General features: G+C 34.6%; 1 protein-coding gene and 1 long non-coding RNA gene across 5 annotated transcripts in view; one reads left to right on the top strand and one right to left on the bottom strand.

The window, feature by feature from the left end:
- Window positions 1-18,704, top strand: part of LRRTM4 (leucine rich repeat transmembrane neuronal 4) — a 774,692-nt gene that overhangs the window by 655,751 nt on the left and 100,237 nt on the right. The gene's annotated exons all lie outside the window — the stretch shown is intronic.
- On the bottom strand, window positions 1,492-18,623 carry LOC105374815 (uncharacterized). Its single transcript, XR_940263.3, has 3 exons — window positions 11,430-18,623; window positions 8,682-8,811; window positions 1,492-7,787 (listed from the first exon to the last, which is right to left on the bottom strand). It is a non-coding gene; the product is annotated as an uncharacterized LOC105374815 (long non-coding RNA).

The raw sequence follows: 18,704 nt of genomic DNA, 5'->3' as shown, positions 1-18,704 counted from the left end.
TACCTAAAGTGATGTGACACAACATCACACATCAATCAAAGATTGTTTGAAAAAGGATACAGTTCAGAGTTTTAAAAGTTTTACCTTTTGTAAGGAAAAGATTTTAAATCAGTCTTAGAAAAAAAAAATGAAGAGCCAATCCAAAACTGAAAGAAGAAAAAAATACAGTATTGATCCAAATGCTCCTTGCCGAGTCATAAGGAAATTGAAATTGCTCTAAGGAAAGAAAGGTAACCAGCAGAGCTGATGAAAACCCTGAGGAAAATGTTCAAGATGAGATCACTGCATCATAATTGTTTCATGTAGGCGAGCTCTTCAAGGCTTCAAAGAGAAGGATGATGGAAACTGAGATCGTTCCCCAGTGAAAGTGCATATAGATAGGTTTAAATTTACTTCTGAAATGTTTCGTGACTCTCAAAGGGATTCAGTTATTTAATTTTGGATGGATCTGGCAGGGAGGTAGGTAATTGGTGTTTTTCTGTGGGAAGAGAATCATCCTAACCTGGAAGGAATAGTACCAAGTTACTCTATTTTGTTTACATTCAGAGATGGGGAAAGGAATAATACATAGGCCCATCCCCACTTGCTCCTTTCACGGTGGCTACTGAGTAAATCTTATGTGGGGTTTTGACTAATCACCCTGATAGTAACATGTGTTTTCTTAAAAATAATTTAGATTATTTCAACAAAATAATTCTGATAGTCAAAACATTTTTCATAATGTAAAGTGATCTTCAGAGGTCTAGAGATAAGTGTGCTTTAGTTTCTCACTTGAAACATGCAAAGTGACAGTCATAATACATCTTTCATTTCTATTTTAAATAGGGCCATCAGATGATAACAATTCTCTCTTATTTAAATGTGTAGTCCTCACCTTTTATGTAGTCAATATCTATATTATGAGTAAGTATACTTCTCTCTGATTTATTCCTTTGAAGTAGGCAAGAATCTTAGAGATTCCTTTTATTCTAAAATATCATTATATCTTAGGAATTATAGGAAGGAGCTCAAAATTATGTGAGTTCATATGTTCAATGAGAACTTATGTGAAAATCTAGAAAAACAAATGTCTCCAAATTAGGGATCAGCATTTGATGAAAGTCTAATACTTTCTCTGATAAAATGATGAGGATAGACAAAACCTGGATAAGAAATGTAAATTGTTTCTTTGGATAGGACTTTCTCTAATTTTATAAACCTATTCAAAAATAGCCATTGAGCTAGGTGGGCCATGTAAATCCAATGGTGTCATTGGTATCAATTCTATGTTGACTCTTTTTCACTACCTGAGAGCATCCAAACATGACTTCTGAAAAGGGAATCCTAGTGTGTTGTTAGTCACCCATAAATATTTTTTGACTAAATAAATCATATTATATGTGAAGTGAGTATCAGGAGGGACATGATTTCTGCCTATGGAGCCCACAGGGAGCAAAGAGAAAGAAAGGCAAACACACAATGATAAATGACTTCTTAAAACAATGTGTATGCGAAGTGTTACGTAAGTGTTTATTGTGCTATCAGACAACCAACCCAGACAGAAATTGAGGTGGGGAATGTTTTCAGGACCACAGTAATGGTTTTCTCCTTCAATAATGGAAAGAATATAATTAAGTAAGAATCAAGATTTGGGAGGCTGAGGCAGAAGAATCGCTTGAGCCAGGAGATTGAGACCAGCCTGGGCAACATAGTGGTACCCTGTCTCTATAAAAAAAATTAAAAAAAAAAAAAAAACAGCTGAAGTGGTGGCATTCACCTGTAGTCCCAGCTACTCGAGAGGCTGAGATGGGAGAATCACTTGAGCCCGGGAGGTTGAAGCTGCAGTGAGCCTTGATTGCCCCACTGCACTCCAGCCTGGGCAACAGAAAAACAGAGAGACCTTGTCTTAAAAAAGAAAGGGAAAAAATTGAATGGGATTCTAAGAACCATCTGATGCTAAGATCACTTCATTTTTTTTTTTTTTTTGGGATGGAGTTTCACTCTTGTTGCCCAGGCTGGAATGCAATGGCACAATCTCGGCTCACTGCAACCTCCGCCACCTCCTACATTCAAGCAATTCCCCTGCCTCAGCCTCCCGAGTAGCTGGGATTACAGGCATGCGCCACCACGCCAAGCTAATTTTGTATTTTTAGTAGAGATGGGGTTTCTCCATGTTGGTCAGGCTTGTCTCAAACTCCTGACCTCAGATGATCCGCCCGCCTAGGCCTCCCAAAGTGCTTGGATTACAGGCATGAGCCACCACGCCCAGCCCACTTCATTTCTTTAAAATTCCTAACAAAAGGTTTTTAAATGTTTTCATAACCAATCTCAGAGGTGTGGAAATTTCTACCTCCTGGGTATTTCATTCCATCTTTGGATAGCTTGGTTTCATATTGGGAGGAAATTGCTCTATTCCATGTCCTACCTTTTGATCTGAATCCCACCACTTTAAAAACAAATAGAGTTAGTTTAATTCTTGTTCCATATGGTCACATTAAAATACTGGAGAAAGGCTTTCATATTTTCCCCAAGACTTTTCTTCTCCTAGCAAATATCCCTAGTTTCTTTGATGGAATATTCCCAATTTATTTAGTAACACTGATCATTGTCCTCCACGTGGGATGTATTTTGTTTGATTTTCCTCTGTTAAAATGTGGTGAACTACTTATAGTCTGAATCTTTTTAGGTCCCATAGATCTTTTTAAACCAGTGTGTGTAAGATTAACATTTATTCTTATTAAATGAGATGAAAGCTTTTTGAATCTCATGCAGCCACCACTGTATTTCAGGTCCCTGAGTGTTAATGATATGAGATATGATTACTTTGCCTTCTATATCATGAGGAGAATTGTTAAAAATCAAACTGGTAATAAACATGTAAAAAACAATTACTTTCTCTTCCTCTCCATTTTCTATTAATATGGAGGTGTGTGTTTTTTGTGTATAAGTAGCATCTATTGAATATTATTATTTGAAAAACTCCGCACTTAGCTTTAGACAAGGAAAGGGGAGAATAAAAGATAAATAAATATGAAACTCTTCTACTTGCAAATCATAGTGGAAATCATGTCACATTTGATGTCAGAGAGTTCAGGATTTGTATCTTATACCTACTACACTAGCTATGTGACCTTGAGGACATTACTAAACTCTGAATTTAGATTTTCTGATGTGGAAACACACATATACACCAGCCTAAGCTTCTTTACTCAAATACTCATCCCATGCTCTAATTTGGAATTATAAGCACTAAAAGGCTGTATTACTATTGATGTGTCTGGGTCATTATATTATATTAAGAATCCAAAAAATTTAAAAAGTGAGGAAATACTTTCCTCAAATAAGCAAGTGAGTATTCTTTCAGCCTGGCAAATTTCAAAACAGTCATAAGTACCTTACTTATTAGGACATCCTCATGAGGACTGAATTATCTTATGCATGTACCTGGCTCTTGGTAGCTGGATTTTTCTCTCTCCGTAAAATTTTACAATAGCCTGGGGGAAATGGACAAGTCCACAAATAATAGAAGAGTTTGAATGAAAGCTGTGGGTAGTTGGGAGGAAAATGTCTTCAATGTCAGACGTGTTTAAGATGCCAGCTAAATGCTTCCAATTTTGAATTCTGGTGTGGTGACATATGCTTTTAAATTCCATCCTGACAAAAGTAGATAATCGGAGGGTAGAAACATAATCTGGAAATAAGATCTGCTTTGGGTTACAAGACAATATACATATGTTGCTACCCTTAACCAAGAGATTTTCTGCAAAAATAAGAATACATCTTGTCACTGAGTTATCTTCATTTATTAAAGTTACATTTCTCTTTTAGCTCCAGTTCTTCAAAGTCAACAAATATATGTGAATAAGATACTCATTTTCAGCTCTTAGATTGTTCAAATGTGATTCAACAAAATCCAGTTTAACAGAGAAACTGCATTTACAGAGCATCCTCTGCTCTTATCAATGCCTTATTTTATGCATATCACTGTGTGTTTGTGTGTGTGTGCGCGCGCACGCGTGTGTGAGATATTTTCCCTCCTCCTCAAAGCGCAACCTTCTTTTTCTTTCGGTCAGGAAGGTCTTGCTGCTACTATCTATTGTTATTGTATCTAGTCCAGAGCAATGACCTTCAGGGTGATCTTTTCAAGACAATACCATTTCTCAGCATTTGATTCTCACCTCAGAAGTGACAGCTGGCTTTTAACACTCTTTCCATGCACCTCTCTGAGTAAAGAACAAAGTTCACAGCAATTGTAGGTAAAATTAGCAAATAAAAAGTGATTGCTAGGTCTTGAAGATAGCATTTTCTGATGATGCTGTGAATTGCCATTTAATTCAAGCCTTCCTCACCTTAGAACAGGCTGTCACCTGAGAGGAACTATGCACCAAGAGTACCAACAACCACTACCAGCAGGCCATGAAAGCACAGAAATCAAATGATATCAAACACTGTGGAAATTAGAGATGATAGTTCTGTTTTCCTTAATTTTAATGTAGTTGAAATAATGGAACAAACAAGTGTTGTTATTTATTGCAAAGTGAAAATAAAACACTTGCTTTATTTAAAAAAAAAAAGCCTAAATTAGCAAGCCCCAATACCTGTGGCTGTATATAAATATATTTGTACTAAGCACACAAACAACCTGAAAATCTCCACAAAGAATAGTCCAGGCAACGAATGCCTTATTTGGTACAACATTGATTTAGCTGCTTTGGGCCCTACAAAGACCACAAAACCACAGGGTGTATTGATGTATTTCCTGTTTCCATATATGCCTGTGTTACTTCAGATAAGTGTCATTCTACGTTTAAGAGTAAAGCAGACATTCCTTTATGTCATGGGAAATTCAATGCTTCTTTACTCAAATCCTCATGCCGTGCTCCAATTTGGAGTTATAAGCACTAAAAGGCTTTCTTCTTACTGATACATCTGGATTATTGCATTATATTAAGATTCCTAAAAAGAAAAAGGTGAGACCATACTTTTATCAAATCAGCAAGTGAGTATTCTATCAGCTTGGCATATTTCAATGCCTATGTCAAGATTAAGGAACAGTAAAGGCCAAAGCAAAATTTTCAGGAAAGGACAGAGAGTATGGCTGTTGAAAAGATGGCATTTGTACTAGAGCTCAGAAAGCAAAGTACTGCTCACAATAGACCTCTGCAAGAAATTTAAACTGTGAATTAACCAGATGATTTTGATGGAGAAGTGGAACAATTCCATTCGTCTTGGAGGTAAGTGACATATAGTTAGATATGGGAAAAAAAATCAAATCAATTGGTGATGTGCAGAAAGATTCTTAGTGACTCAGTTTAAAAAAAACTAAAAATAATGCAGTCTTTTAGCCTGATATTTCATGTGTTTTATAGTCTTCTGCATTCCTGGAATTTTAGAATACAAGAATGAATATAAAGAACATAAATTAGATCAAAACATTGGATTATTAAGATTGGTAGGGTTGAAATAACTTCACTGTCTAAGTAATGTAGCTCGTCTGAATTTAAACATAAGTAAATCAAAACCTAAAGAGGCAAAATGTTTTATCAAAAAACACTTACCAGTAAATAGTAAGTAAGATCTTCCTATTTTGATTCTAAAAAGGGAAAAAACAGAAAAACTATCACCTCTAGAAAAACTGGATTAATCACTGTCTTAGTCAACTGCCTTGATTTTGTTTTTCTTTTATATATTATTAGTATTTCCATACTATGAGATATTAACACCAGGCCTTTCCTCTGATACTATGCTTTTTTTTAATTTTACAATATATTTTTACAAATCTTTTACTTGATGTGGATTCATTACCCACTCAATATCTGTTTCCTTCTGTTCTCTAGTTCTCTTTAATCACAATATTCTAAATCTGGGGAAGTGTATTTATATTTCTGGAGTTTGTAGAAAGAGATGTTGTATTTAAGTCACTATTTAAATCTCCCTTTTATCAATTTACAGTCTGGTTTCTCTTTTACAGAATTAAGAAGTGCAAACAGAACAGTCTTAAAATCCAAAAACTATAGCTAAGTTCCATTCTTATAGGGGTCTCCTAAGTGAGCCTATAGCAATACACACACACGCACACACACATGCACACACACAGCAAAATTCTTTAAGTGAAGGACAAACCTTCATCTAACCTATGGCACAAGGGGTGGAATATCATAGTGTGCACAGCTAGCCACGAAGGATATTTTCTAAGATAATCTGCACACAGTTTCATAGTAATATCTGGTTTTTGTATCCAACTATGTGGATCTGCTCCACATGTAAACACACTAATTTGTCATCATTATTGACTCTTAGACATCATCGAATATCAAATTAGTAACATGGACTGTTCTGACTGCTTTTTGTTGCCCAACTAAACTCTAAATATCTTCCAAGAGCTAGCCAAAGTAACATGTCTTTGCAATCTTCTCCAAATCATGAGATCCATAGTAATGTAATAGTTGAGGCTATTTGAAGACTGAGAACAGTATATTGTTGTGATATCATTAGAATATATTGTATGTTTGGCATATACTATTCAACTCTTGTACGTACTCCTATTTTCTGTGTGTGTTTTCTTAAGGCATTTTGTCAAAATTAATTCCCAGGCCTTTCTGTATTGAGTGGGAAAGACCCCCATGGATGGTAAGTGATATCCCATAATGAAAAGAAATGGTACTTTTGATGCAACATATTATGCATTCTAGGGGCTATAATTCTGTTACAGAGTTAGTTAAAACTAAACAACTTCATCTGGTCAATTCACAAATGAGAAACCATATATTTATTTATATTCAAAGATAAACTGTACACAAGATTGGAATATTTATGTCCACTGAGACCGAAGAAGTTCAGGTCACAACCAGGGGATACATTTTAGATTATCTGATTTTTCAAATACATAACAAAAGATTTCTATCTAGTAAACAGCTTATGGAGCTAGGAAACTTCAAGTAAAATTTAGAATTATCATTGGTTTTCCAAGGTAGAATACATGGAGTATACGATTGTCCATGTCATGCAAACTTTTATGTAACTTTTTATTATCTATATATTTTGCACTTAATCACATACTGTCATAGGTTAGGGAAATATTGTAGGTTAGGGATACAGGAATTAAAGTGACTTCTAAATTCAACTATGCTATTAACCAGCTCTTGGCTTTTTTCACATCATTTTAACTTCTCTGTGTATCATTTTTCCATTCAAAAGCAATACTATTAACATAAATAACAATTTTCATTTATTGAATATATAATACATCTGGGCATTATCCAATGTGTTTAACAGGTATCATACACTGTATTTCTCAAAACAAACTTATGAGTAGGTGGTGCCATTTTTTCTATTTTATAAATGGGGAACTGAGGAAAAAAAAAGAATATATAACTTACAGAAAGAAACAGTAAATGACAAAGCTGGGATTCAGACTCAGTCTTTCCTACTCCAACACCCTTGCACTCAACCAGTATCCTTCACCCCCTCCTAAGTTAAATATGATACTTTTCAGTCCTTTCTACTTTATGGTATTTTTATGAAGTGCAAATAAAATGATAGCATGGAAAACTGATTTGGAAAATATAGCTATGTTTTAAATGTGAATTCAATAGCAGTTACTCTTCTGTGTGTTGAGATTGAAGAAGCCCCACAGTGTAGCCTTTCCCCTGAGAAAAGCTGCAAATGGCCCACTGCAGAAGAGCTGCAAACTGCCCATCCAGACACCTGGATGGAGATATTTTCTTGATGAATGTACCAGAGTCTTGAAGTTCCAAAGTTCTGAACTATTCAGTGTAGCATAGGGATTTGTAAATGTTGACTCAGATCTAAATTAAATTAGAAAGAAACTCAGGTCAAAATAATACAAGAAATATTTATGAAATTGCAACAATAAAATATTTAAGGTGATAGAGATCCATATTCTCTGGCTAGTACAATCTTCCTATAATTCAAAATTGCCAGAGAATACCAGTTTGCAATTACAGAGCAGTTTTCATAGTAAAATATCTATTTATTACTTGATTCCTCTATCATCACTGAAAGAATACTCCTCTACAGTGAACAAGCTATTTTACCTACTGCAGAATAGTACAGTACCCTTCAAAATTGGATAGACATTGCATATTTCAGTTCCCCATAGAAACAAAACATATAGCCCCACTCCTCCCCGAGGACCTAGGAGAGCTGATGTTATAGTTCCAATCTGAATCCAAAAGCCCAAGAAGCAGGAGAACCTGTGAGATAGTTTCAGTTGGAAGCCTGGCAGGCTGCAGCCAAGAAGAGCTAATGTTTCTGTTTGACTTCAGGTCGGAAAAAGTCAATGTCTCAGTTTGAAAAGAGTCAGGTGGGAGAAATGCTCCCTTACTTGTGGGAGGGTCAGCCTTTTTGTTTTTTCAGGCGTTCACCTGGTTGGATGAGGCCTATCCATCTTAGGCAGGGTAGCCTGCTTTACTCTGTTTACAGATTGAATTGTTATTCTCATCCAAAAACACCCTATAGAAACACCCAGAATTATGTTTAACCAAATATTTGGGCATCCTGTGACTCAGTCAAGTTGACACATAAAACTAACCATTATAGATATCTATTGCCCATTTTCTTTTGCTTGCAAATATGATGTTATTTATACTGTTTCAATTGTTATATAAAAATTGCACTTTGATAAAAATTTTAGGATGTGCTAATAGTGACAAGAATTGCCTGAGGCTGCACTCTAGTACCTGTTGGAGTAAACTTCCCAGTTGCTCACTTAGATCTCATATTTTCTTCATTTTATTCTTAAAAGTAAGTATTTCTTCATTGTTGGGACATTTTGCTAGTTTGTAATGCTTAAAGTAAATGCCTATTTGCCTGTTAGAAAAGATCAACATAATATTATGGAATTAAAATGAATCAGTTAAAACGTGTTTACAAAAGCAAACTTTCATAAAAGCCAAGAAAACAGGCACAACTGCTGACACAAAATTATGTTGCCAAAACAGTAATAATCACCACTATCAGTATAAACAATTATGCAGGACATTTATTTGGTAACTGAAATACGAAAGACTATAATGCTGTGTTAGGTTTTCAGTCTTAAAACCCAAATATCCATTTATAATACAACTGACTCTTGAACAATGAGGGGGTTAGTGTTGTCAATTCCCTGCATAGTCAAAAATCCATATATAACTTTTTGTTCCCCCAAAACTTAACTACTAAGAGCCTATTCTTGACCAAAGCCTTACTGATAACATAATCAGTCAAATAACACACATTTGTATCTTCTATATCTCATATATGTAAATATGAATATCAAAACAAGCCATGTATTGCTAAGGAATAAATATATATGATATATATATTATATATATATTATATATACTGTGTTTTTACAACAAGGTATCTAGAGAAAAGGAAATATTATTAAGAAAATCATAAGCAAGAGAAAATATCTTTATTATCCATTAAGCAGAAGTACATTATCATAAAGGTTTTCATCCTTGTTATCTTCATGTTGAGTTGGCCAAGGAGAAGGAGGAAGAAGAGGAGGGGTTGGTATTGCTGTCTCAAGGGTGGCAGGCATGGAAGAAAATTGGTGTAGTTCAAACCTATGTTGTTCAAGGGTCAACTGTACTTTTGAATGTGTTTTAAAAAATAATGAAAATATTTAATACTAGAACATTAAGAGAGAAATTTATTTTGTTAGTAAATTGATAAACCATTGTTGTAAATTTTTCTTTTATTTTTTTTTGCGACAGAAGAAATACATGTTTGTTTTTGAAAACTTAGAGGGGAGGAAACAGAAAAGCAAGAAAACAAATAAGTAAAAGTCACACAAAATATTACCAATATTCAAAATCTTGTTGTGTATCTTTGTTTCAGTAGGCTTTTTTTTCTTTTTTACAAAACACCATACAGGTTCATAGCACATATTTAGCTTAATGACATATAAGGGAAAGAAAATATTTTCAAGTCATTTAATATAAGCTATTTTTAATGGCAATAAAACATTTTACTGATAAATAAGCAGTAATTTATTTTAACCATTAACAAATATCAGTTAAACATTTAGATTGTTTTCTTCTTTTTCCTATTAAAGTGGCTCTTGTAGACAAAATTTTAAACACAAAGCAGGATTAAATTCTTTAATTGAGATTCCTAGAAATCACATATCTGAGATTAAGGTCTATGTATATTGATAATGTTTATCCATGTAGGCTAATTATTCCTTAGCAGTACATGGTTTGTTTTGATATTTACATATATGAGAGACCTTCTTAACAGGCACTTCAACCATAGTGGATATTATATCCAATATAAAATTAACTAAAAATATATAACTGATAAAAATACCCTTCTTTTTTCAAAATTTATACTTTTTTTTATCTCTCTCTCTCTCTTTTTCTGAGACGAAGTCTCACTCTGTCACCTAGGCTGGAGTGCAAAGGCGCAATCTTGGCTCACTGCAACCTCTGCCTCCTGGGTTCAAGGGATTCTCTTGCCTCAGCCTCCCGAGTAGCTGGGGTAACAGGCGTCAGCCACGATGCTGGGCTAAATTTTGTAGTTTTAGTAGAGATGGGGTTTCACCATGTTGGCCAGGCTGGTCTCAAACTCCTGACCTCAGGTAATCCGCCCACCTTGGCTTCCCAAAGTGCTGGGATTACAGGCATGAGCCACCACTTCTGGCCAATTTATACTTCCTTGAATGCCAGAGTGACTGACTGTCAGTTTATTTCTAATTTTTCTGTAAATTGTTTATTTTAATTCCCCATTTTAAAAACTTCCAGAGTGGGCTTTATCTAGGTGAGTTGTACTACTGCTTCTTACCCTTCAATAACAGCGTTATTTGTGCTTTCTGTAGACACCACCCCACCCTCCACCCAACTGAGGGTCTTGTTATTAAGCTCTCATAGTCCCATGCAATACAGAAATATGCCTACAGGACAGTGATTTCTCTTCCTGTAAATTAATGCCCTCAGACCCACTCTCTAGACTCATCTGCATATATGCTTTCAGAAAATATTTTTACATTTTTAGCATGTTGTTATTTATTCTAATTTTTATTAAAAATCATCAGTCTTTGTACATCCTTTTGGTAGTTTTGTTAAATAGAATGAGGAAGACAAAGAAAGAGATTGGGATAAGTGAAGTCTATTTACTTCGGCACTAATCTATTCCCAGAATGTTTTGTAATTTGGTTTTAACAGAAATTTTATGAAGTGTTTGATATGAATCTATTATTTATCAAATAAGGCAAAATGTAGACTGTATGCTTTCTTTTATAACAAAGTGAAAATTTATAAAATTTGTAATAACTCAGGTTCTGGATTTCATGTTGAAGGATTATCAGTAAGGCAGGGCATTCATAATTATCCATCTTTGTCCTAGATAGGAATCAGTAACTTTTCTTCAGTTATTTCAGCAATAATATTCACTGCTTTAACAACTGATGGCTTACACGGGCCCCATGATCTTGTGCCAGTTACCTTTCCTCCTTTTTCTTGCTAACGTTGCTCCTGATGTCTCCGCAAGCAGGCTCCTGAGCAACCGCCTTTGCTCTTGCAGTCCCCTCTGCCTGGAATGCTCCGCTCGCAGATATCCAATTAGTGAAACATTTCTTCTCTTTCAAAATTTTGGTCAAATGTCACTGACTCAATGCGTCCTATCTGGACCTTCTTATTTATTACTACAATTTGCCTCTTCTGGCCACTAGATTCTTATTATCTTCCTTACTCTGCTCTACTGTTTCTTTCTTTTTTTAATGAGGCTATCAACTTCTAAAATATCACATAATGTAGTTATCTGTTATGTTGATTGTTGATGGTCTTTCTCGCCCTTATAGAATTTTAGCTCTGTGAAAAAAAAAAAAAGGATTTTCTTTTTTATACTTCATTCAATGATGTATCCCAAATGCCTTGGAGAGCTCCTGACATATAGTAGATGTTTAGTTAAGTATTTTTAAAAATAAGTAAGTAGCGACATCTAAGTTAGATAATCTAGAGCAAGCCCAGTAGCTCATTTATGTCATAAGGGACCCAGGCAGTGGTGTGCTGGATGTTCTGTGATTGGTAAATTCAACTATAGTTAGATTATGTATACATTAAAATTGGCAAATGCTACAAATCAGGATTTTTGTTTGTTTGTTTGTTTTTTGCCCTCAGAGAGTAATTTATGTTCACACCTCAGAACTCAGGTTTTTTTATCCCATTTGTTCCACCATCCTCATAGCTTTGTATTTTGGTCATTGTGCATGTTACTTCTGATTGAAAGATGACTACCACCTCAGTGGGTATCATGACTCTATTTAATGATTTATACATTTATTGAGGGAAAAGTAAAAGCAGATTCTCAGCATACTATCTGTATTATCAGACAGTCAAAATCCTTCCAGAAGGCTTTTAAAATAATAATACTAACCCCTCATTTGCCCATACTTATCATATGACTATATGTTAGTTTCACAGAAGACTACAAAAGTAAATTTCTAACAGTGGATAATGTTCTACCACTACTGCTTTACAGTAATCATAGTTCATCTTCTCGTAATGTAATTGCATTTCTGAACAAAATCAAGAATTCGTTGCCAGGAAAGAAGGGGATTATAAAATCTGTAAGATTGCCAACTCAGAGTGACTGCTACTGAAGGAAGAGACCATGATAAATGATTTCTTAAGTATTAAAAACCTTTTAAAGAACAGAAAAATGAGCAACTGAAATTTTGAGAAGTGGCAGAGGCATATGAATTTTAAACAATATCCACAACTGGGAGGAAAAGGCAACAAACATTTTGGCATTGAGAGAACAAATTTCCTTAGACATCACACATAGTAGATTAGGATGTAGGATCTACTGTAGTATGAGAAATGCATTTGTTCTTACAGAAAAACACAATTCTGTATGTGTTGTTTCTTTGCCCTCTGGAAAATGACAATCTGGAATTTACCTTAACACCTTTTGTGATATATTGTATGCCTAATATACACTGTGAAAGAGAGTTTCAAATACAACTTTCAAGATCTTTCTTCTTTGAAATTGGTACATTTTTTTTTCTATCCACAGATTTGCCATTTAGCCTATTTTAAGTAGTACCATAGGGAGGTAACTTTTAAATACATATATGGGCATCATTTTCTTGACAATTCTTCCACAACTAAGCAGTGTTCTCATCCAAAGATAACTCTAATATCTAAAGGGCAAGGACGAGAGTTTGATTTGTTCTTAAAAAAGAAGTCAGCAAGAAAGCAATTGACTTCTACTTAGATGGTGGCAGGTGCTCTCAACAATTTAGATCTTGAAATAAGGGCAGACTTGTATTTAAAAAGAAAAGAAAAAGAAAGGAAAAACAATCTAGAGGGACCAAGAGCCCATTTCAATTCAATTGAGTTCTGTTGATTATATTTCTTGAACATCTCTTGAATCAATTTTTACCTCACTTTCTTCACCACAGCTATGATAGCGACAATAGCCCCTCCCCATTTATTCTCCACACTGTACCCAGCGTTATCTATCTAACACCAAATGTGATTGCATCAAACCTCTGCTAACCAAAAAACAAAACTGAAAAATATGTCTCCCAATATCAAGTCCAAACTTTTCAGCATAGCATAAAACTTTTGACAGGTACCAAGTTATAAAGTCAGTCTCATCTCTCTATATTCTACCTGCTCTAGTACACAGAATCAGGCCCTTTTCCTAGAATAACCCATACTTGTGCCTGTTTGAATATACTGTTTTTTTCTAATATAACAATTCTTCCCTGTCTGAAAGAAAGGTCACTTTTCAATTAATTTCTAGCCTCTGCATTGATGTGTCCTCTAAACCTACTATCCTAATCACAAGCTCCTTTCCACACCTGTTCTTATAATAATATTTAAGTCAAGTTTAGTCCTGAATTAGACTTTGTAATATTTAAGTGTATTTGTTTCGAGTGTTTGTATATCTCACTCCACACTTTGAGTTCTGAAAGAGTTAAGAGTGCCTTATCATATTTGCATATTTCAGGACCAGGAAAGTTGAAATTCTTTTTGTATGAACAGATTAATAAATAATTATTATGAATGTACTACATGGCAAGAAAAATAATCTTTTTATAAAAAGGAATGTATAGACAAATGCTAATTTAATAAATAATAACATAAGATAATAGCAAAATGCATCCAAGGGTTGTACAGACAAAATTCACTAAACTATTCAGAAAAGTAAGTAGATGAAATCTGTTATAATTTTTACTTACAGTTACTGATGGGGATTGGGACTTTATTTGGATCTTCACATAAGCCTACAATTTGCATAGTCAGAAAAGAATTACAGAATGTCTAGGAGGAAAGTAAGACAATGTTATGAAGCAGAGATGGCTTCAAGGATGGTACGAAGCTGTGATTTTGGTGGGAGTGTAAGCTGAATGATACCTTCAGTTTATGCTTGCTGGTAATGAGAGGCTTGATTCCATAGAACAGAAGTTGTGGAAGACTACTAGGTCAGAATTAGAAGTTTGGAGTTGGAATACAACTCCTCCTTTCTTATTGTGCAATTTTCAATATGGTTGTTGTGATAATCACATTCAATAATGCAGGTGAAATTCCCCAGCACATTGAGTAGCAATAGTAAGAGCTCAAAAATCATTAGCTATATCTGAACAGGATTAGAAAAAAAGTGAGGCTTCCTTGAGTCTTTAATGTACATGCAATATGATTCAACGTTATGTAAAAGCTATATTAAAACTCAAGAATCATAAAAGTACTGCTTTTCCTTCTTCCCATTTGCTCGTAAGTGTTTCCTGTGTGATTAACAAATAGGGTCAAAATTTTAGCATAATTCAGGATCAAAAACCTGTGTTTAATTTACCTCATCTCTGGAAGAGAGTGCCACTTTGGGAACAGGGTCTTAGAGGTGCATAAAGAGAATGTCAAAAAAAAAAAAAAAAAAAACGAATAAAAGTTAAAAATCTAAGCATGCAAGTTTCCTTAGAAGAGAACATTTCTGGTCTTTAAGAAATATGAAGATCATCTACTCCCACTCTGTCAAATTATTAATAAGAAAATTGAGCCCTGGGGAGGTCAAGCAATTATCTAAAGCAACAGTTAGTCTAGCAGATGGCTTCTAGAGGAATAGTCTCCATGATTTCTAAGCCTGTGCTTCCTTCTCGTTGGGTCTAGGTGGGCATCTGTCAGCAACGGTAAGGACAAGCCAGGGTCTTTATCTTTAGATCTTTTAGGTAACTCACTTGTGCTCAATACAAACCCAATTTTAAGGAATGAAGAGATGCCCAGACAAAAACCCAAATTACATTTGCAGCAAAACCCCTGCTATTTCAGTACATTAGCTACAGATTCAATAAAGGTAAAGTGGTTGTTAAGCTTTTCAGCTTGAATGGCATCATTTTTTTATTGCACTTGGAAGAAAAATGTGGTGGCACCCACCCAAACTCATAAAACCAGAGCATCTGACAAAAGATGCTGTGAGCCTTGAGCTCCATCATAATTTCAGATTTGGTGTGCTTCCCACTCTGTAAATCACCTGAAATTTACAGCTGCACCTGCAAGCCCAAGCACGAGGCTGAACTCTTAGATAAATAGAATTGCTCACAGTGTTCCCTGAATGTGCACTGTTAGCAAAACTGGGCCCTTAGCCCAAGTGGGGCTTCAGACTTACCCAAACTGGCTGCTCCTACTTAGCCAAAATCAATCGGAGCTTTGGGGATTAAATATGTGTAGACTTAGTGTCAATCTTTTAGATGTCCTAAAGGAGTCTACAATAAGACATGTGGAGAAACACATGAATATGTCACAAATTGTAGGATATTTGATCCATTTCTAACTTTCTCTAGTTTTTCTATTTTCCCTCTCATTTTTAAGGATTCACAAATCTTATTTTGAGAATCAGTCAAACATTAGCAGGATATTTATAGAGAAAATTCTGTATATTATATTGGATCAGGTGCTATGAAGCACATGTGTGAATACACACACATACATATCAGATGGCATGGTGACATAGTCGCTTCAGATGAACAGAGGTGGGGAAAGGACAGTGACAGTTGCTAAGTTCCTACTGTGTGCAAAGTACCTAACAGATTGTGGGACATATGCATAATAATTTCCATTTCTCAATCGCTCTTATATCCCTTGCTTAAACATATCATTTAATCTCTGCAGTAACAGGGGATAATGTACTAGTTATTTGCATCCCCAATTATCAACTGGCAAAATTGAGGATCAGAACTAATCATTTCTTTGTTCAACATCACTGAATTGTCGATGGAACCAAGATTTGAATCCAATTTTTACAGTTCTAATGCAGTGTTCCCACACTCCCAGGTTCTGATATGTCTTCCACACAATTGCTTCCGTTTTTACTGGGCTTCCAGAATATGCATCTCTTTATGGAGAATATTGAACTTTAGGTAGGTCTCGAAAGACAGAAAAAATGTTAATAATTGACAAAGGGAAAAAGACATAGCATGAAAGTGCAGATGGGCAGAAACCGTATGGACAGCAGAAAAAAACAAACCAAAAATCTAGTTTGGAGAAAGTAATGGGTTTAACTTGAAAAATTCTGAGACACAAAATGGAAAAACTGAAGTTCATTTGAGAAAGGTCTAAAATGGTAGAGGGTTCAAAATTCAAAGTCAAATAATTATCTATCAGTAACAAATGATAAGCCACTTATACACATGAGGACATATTTCTCTCCACCATCAGTACCTATGCCCTAGAAATTAACTCCTTTCACTTCACTCCACCAATCAACTACCAATCATCTTTCTTTTCATGTGGAAAACAAGGAGTAATACAATTATACATCAGTTCATTGTATGAAAGGAATGTATCATTAGCACTTACTTTTTAAAAAAAAATTGTCTTCAACTTCTAAGAGATTGCTTACTATTATATTAAATACTATGAGAAACCTTTAATTATAAAATACAGATTCAAATACAAAAAGACTATAATCTTTTCGCAAGCATTTGTTTTAAAGGAATTTTGACTTGCTATGAAAATTATGAATTTTGGAATTTATTTGTTAAGGAAGAATTTGATAGAGACAGTTGATGAGCAGAGTTGTTTTTTTATTAAGCAAACTAGATTGTTTTAAGTCGCCTTTTACAGAAGTATAATTAGCAGTACATTTATTTGATGAAGTCTTTTTCCCATCATTATTCTTATAGTTATTTAATATATAAAATTTATTTTTGACAATTTGTTCTGAGGGAGTATATTTTATATAATTTTCCCCCCACAATACATCTGGGAAATATTCCAGCTCTGTATTTTCAGCCTTCGTTCATTTGCACAAAGATGTTGCATGGCAGCAGAGAAATTTCATTTTTCAAGAAGTGAGATTATGCTGTTCCAAGAAAAGGTGGAGGAGGATCACACTGACAATGCTGAATTTCTTGAGCACAAAAACAGAAAGCCTTGGAGAAGAGAAATTACCCTCCAGATGATTGCCCTTCCTTGGCTCAACCTACTTTTCTTTTCTCTTCTCTGCACTGTCACCCCCCACATTACTCTCAAAGCACAGCAACTATCAGCTATTATTAATACTGTGTGCTCTCATTTAACCCAGAAAAAAAATCTTATTTCCATTATACTTCAGGGGACACTTAATATAAGAAGAGTACCTGAAGGAAAGATAGGGGGAGAGAAAGAAAAAGAGAGGAGAGAGAGAAATCTGGTATAACAGGGAATGTACAGATGGCCTGTGTGACCTGTCACCAGTGGATATTTGGTAATCAGGATTCCTCAAAGTGTTTGGTGTAGCTTATGCCCATCAATGAGAGTTCTTTCATGAAATAAGTTTCCAGAATCTTCCATAACCCCAAAATAATAAAAAGCATCTATTAACATGTAAATTCTTGTTCCAAATATTCTTCAGAAAATAAATTTTATACTTGGATTAAGCAGAGGTTTCCCAAATATTTGTTAATCAGAGAAACTTTTTTTTCTTTTTCTGTAACTTCTTAACATTCACACATTACAAGTTTAAAAATCCTTGTTATAAATTATATACAGATAATATCCATTTGTTTCAAGTAGAATAAAATGATAATAGCAATAAATTCTAAAATAATAATGAACTGGAGATTTTGCTTAAAAATTATAACAAATGTTTCCATTTTTTGAATTAATTTTTGAACTGATTCAAGATAAAATTAAAAACCTGAACAGAAAATGAACAAAGTACGAATTTGAAAAATGTCAAAATATCCTCCAAAAGGCAGTTGGTTTAGAAAGTTTTGTGGATGAATGACTTAAAATTTGAGGGAAGTATATAATTTTGGAGTCTTTAATTAATGCAAAAAAATAAGAAGAGGCCAAAGTTGAACTATTTGCAGATGGTAGATAAAGCTATTGTTTTCAGATATTATGCTTATCTTTATAACTCAAAGGAATCAATTGGGAAAATTATTAGAATGAATTACAGTGTTTAGTATGTTGGAAAATTCCAAGATTAAATACATGAATAACTATTGCTCACATAAAACATCAATACACAGTAATAAAGAGGCAAATTTATTGGGGAAAGAAGTTGTTTTCTACCCCTTCACTCCGCAACCCAAACACACACAAAGAATCTAAGGGAAAAAAACTTTGAGAAAAAAGGAAAGAATGAAGAATGAGCTCTCTGGATGGAAAAATGCCAACATGGAATTTCTTCTAAACTCCATTAAGATTCCACCCTGCCTTGACTCTTGCTACCTCTTTATTATTGGCTAGTAGATCTTCCATTTCTTACTAGAGTGCCCCATAGGGAACACT

This window comes from Homo sapiens, chromosome 2 (assembly GCF_000001405.40).
Source record: "Homo sapiens chromosome 2, GRCh38.p14 Primary Assembly".
In the NCBI taxonomy this organism is placed as follows: domain Eukaryota; kingdom Metazoa; phylum Chordata; class Mammalia; order Primates; family Hominidae; genus Homo; species Homo sapiens.
The sequence above is the reverse complement of the archived record's forward strand: the minus strand, read 5'-3'. Positions and strand labels throughout refer to the sequence as shown.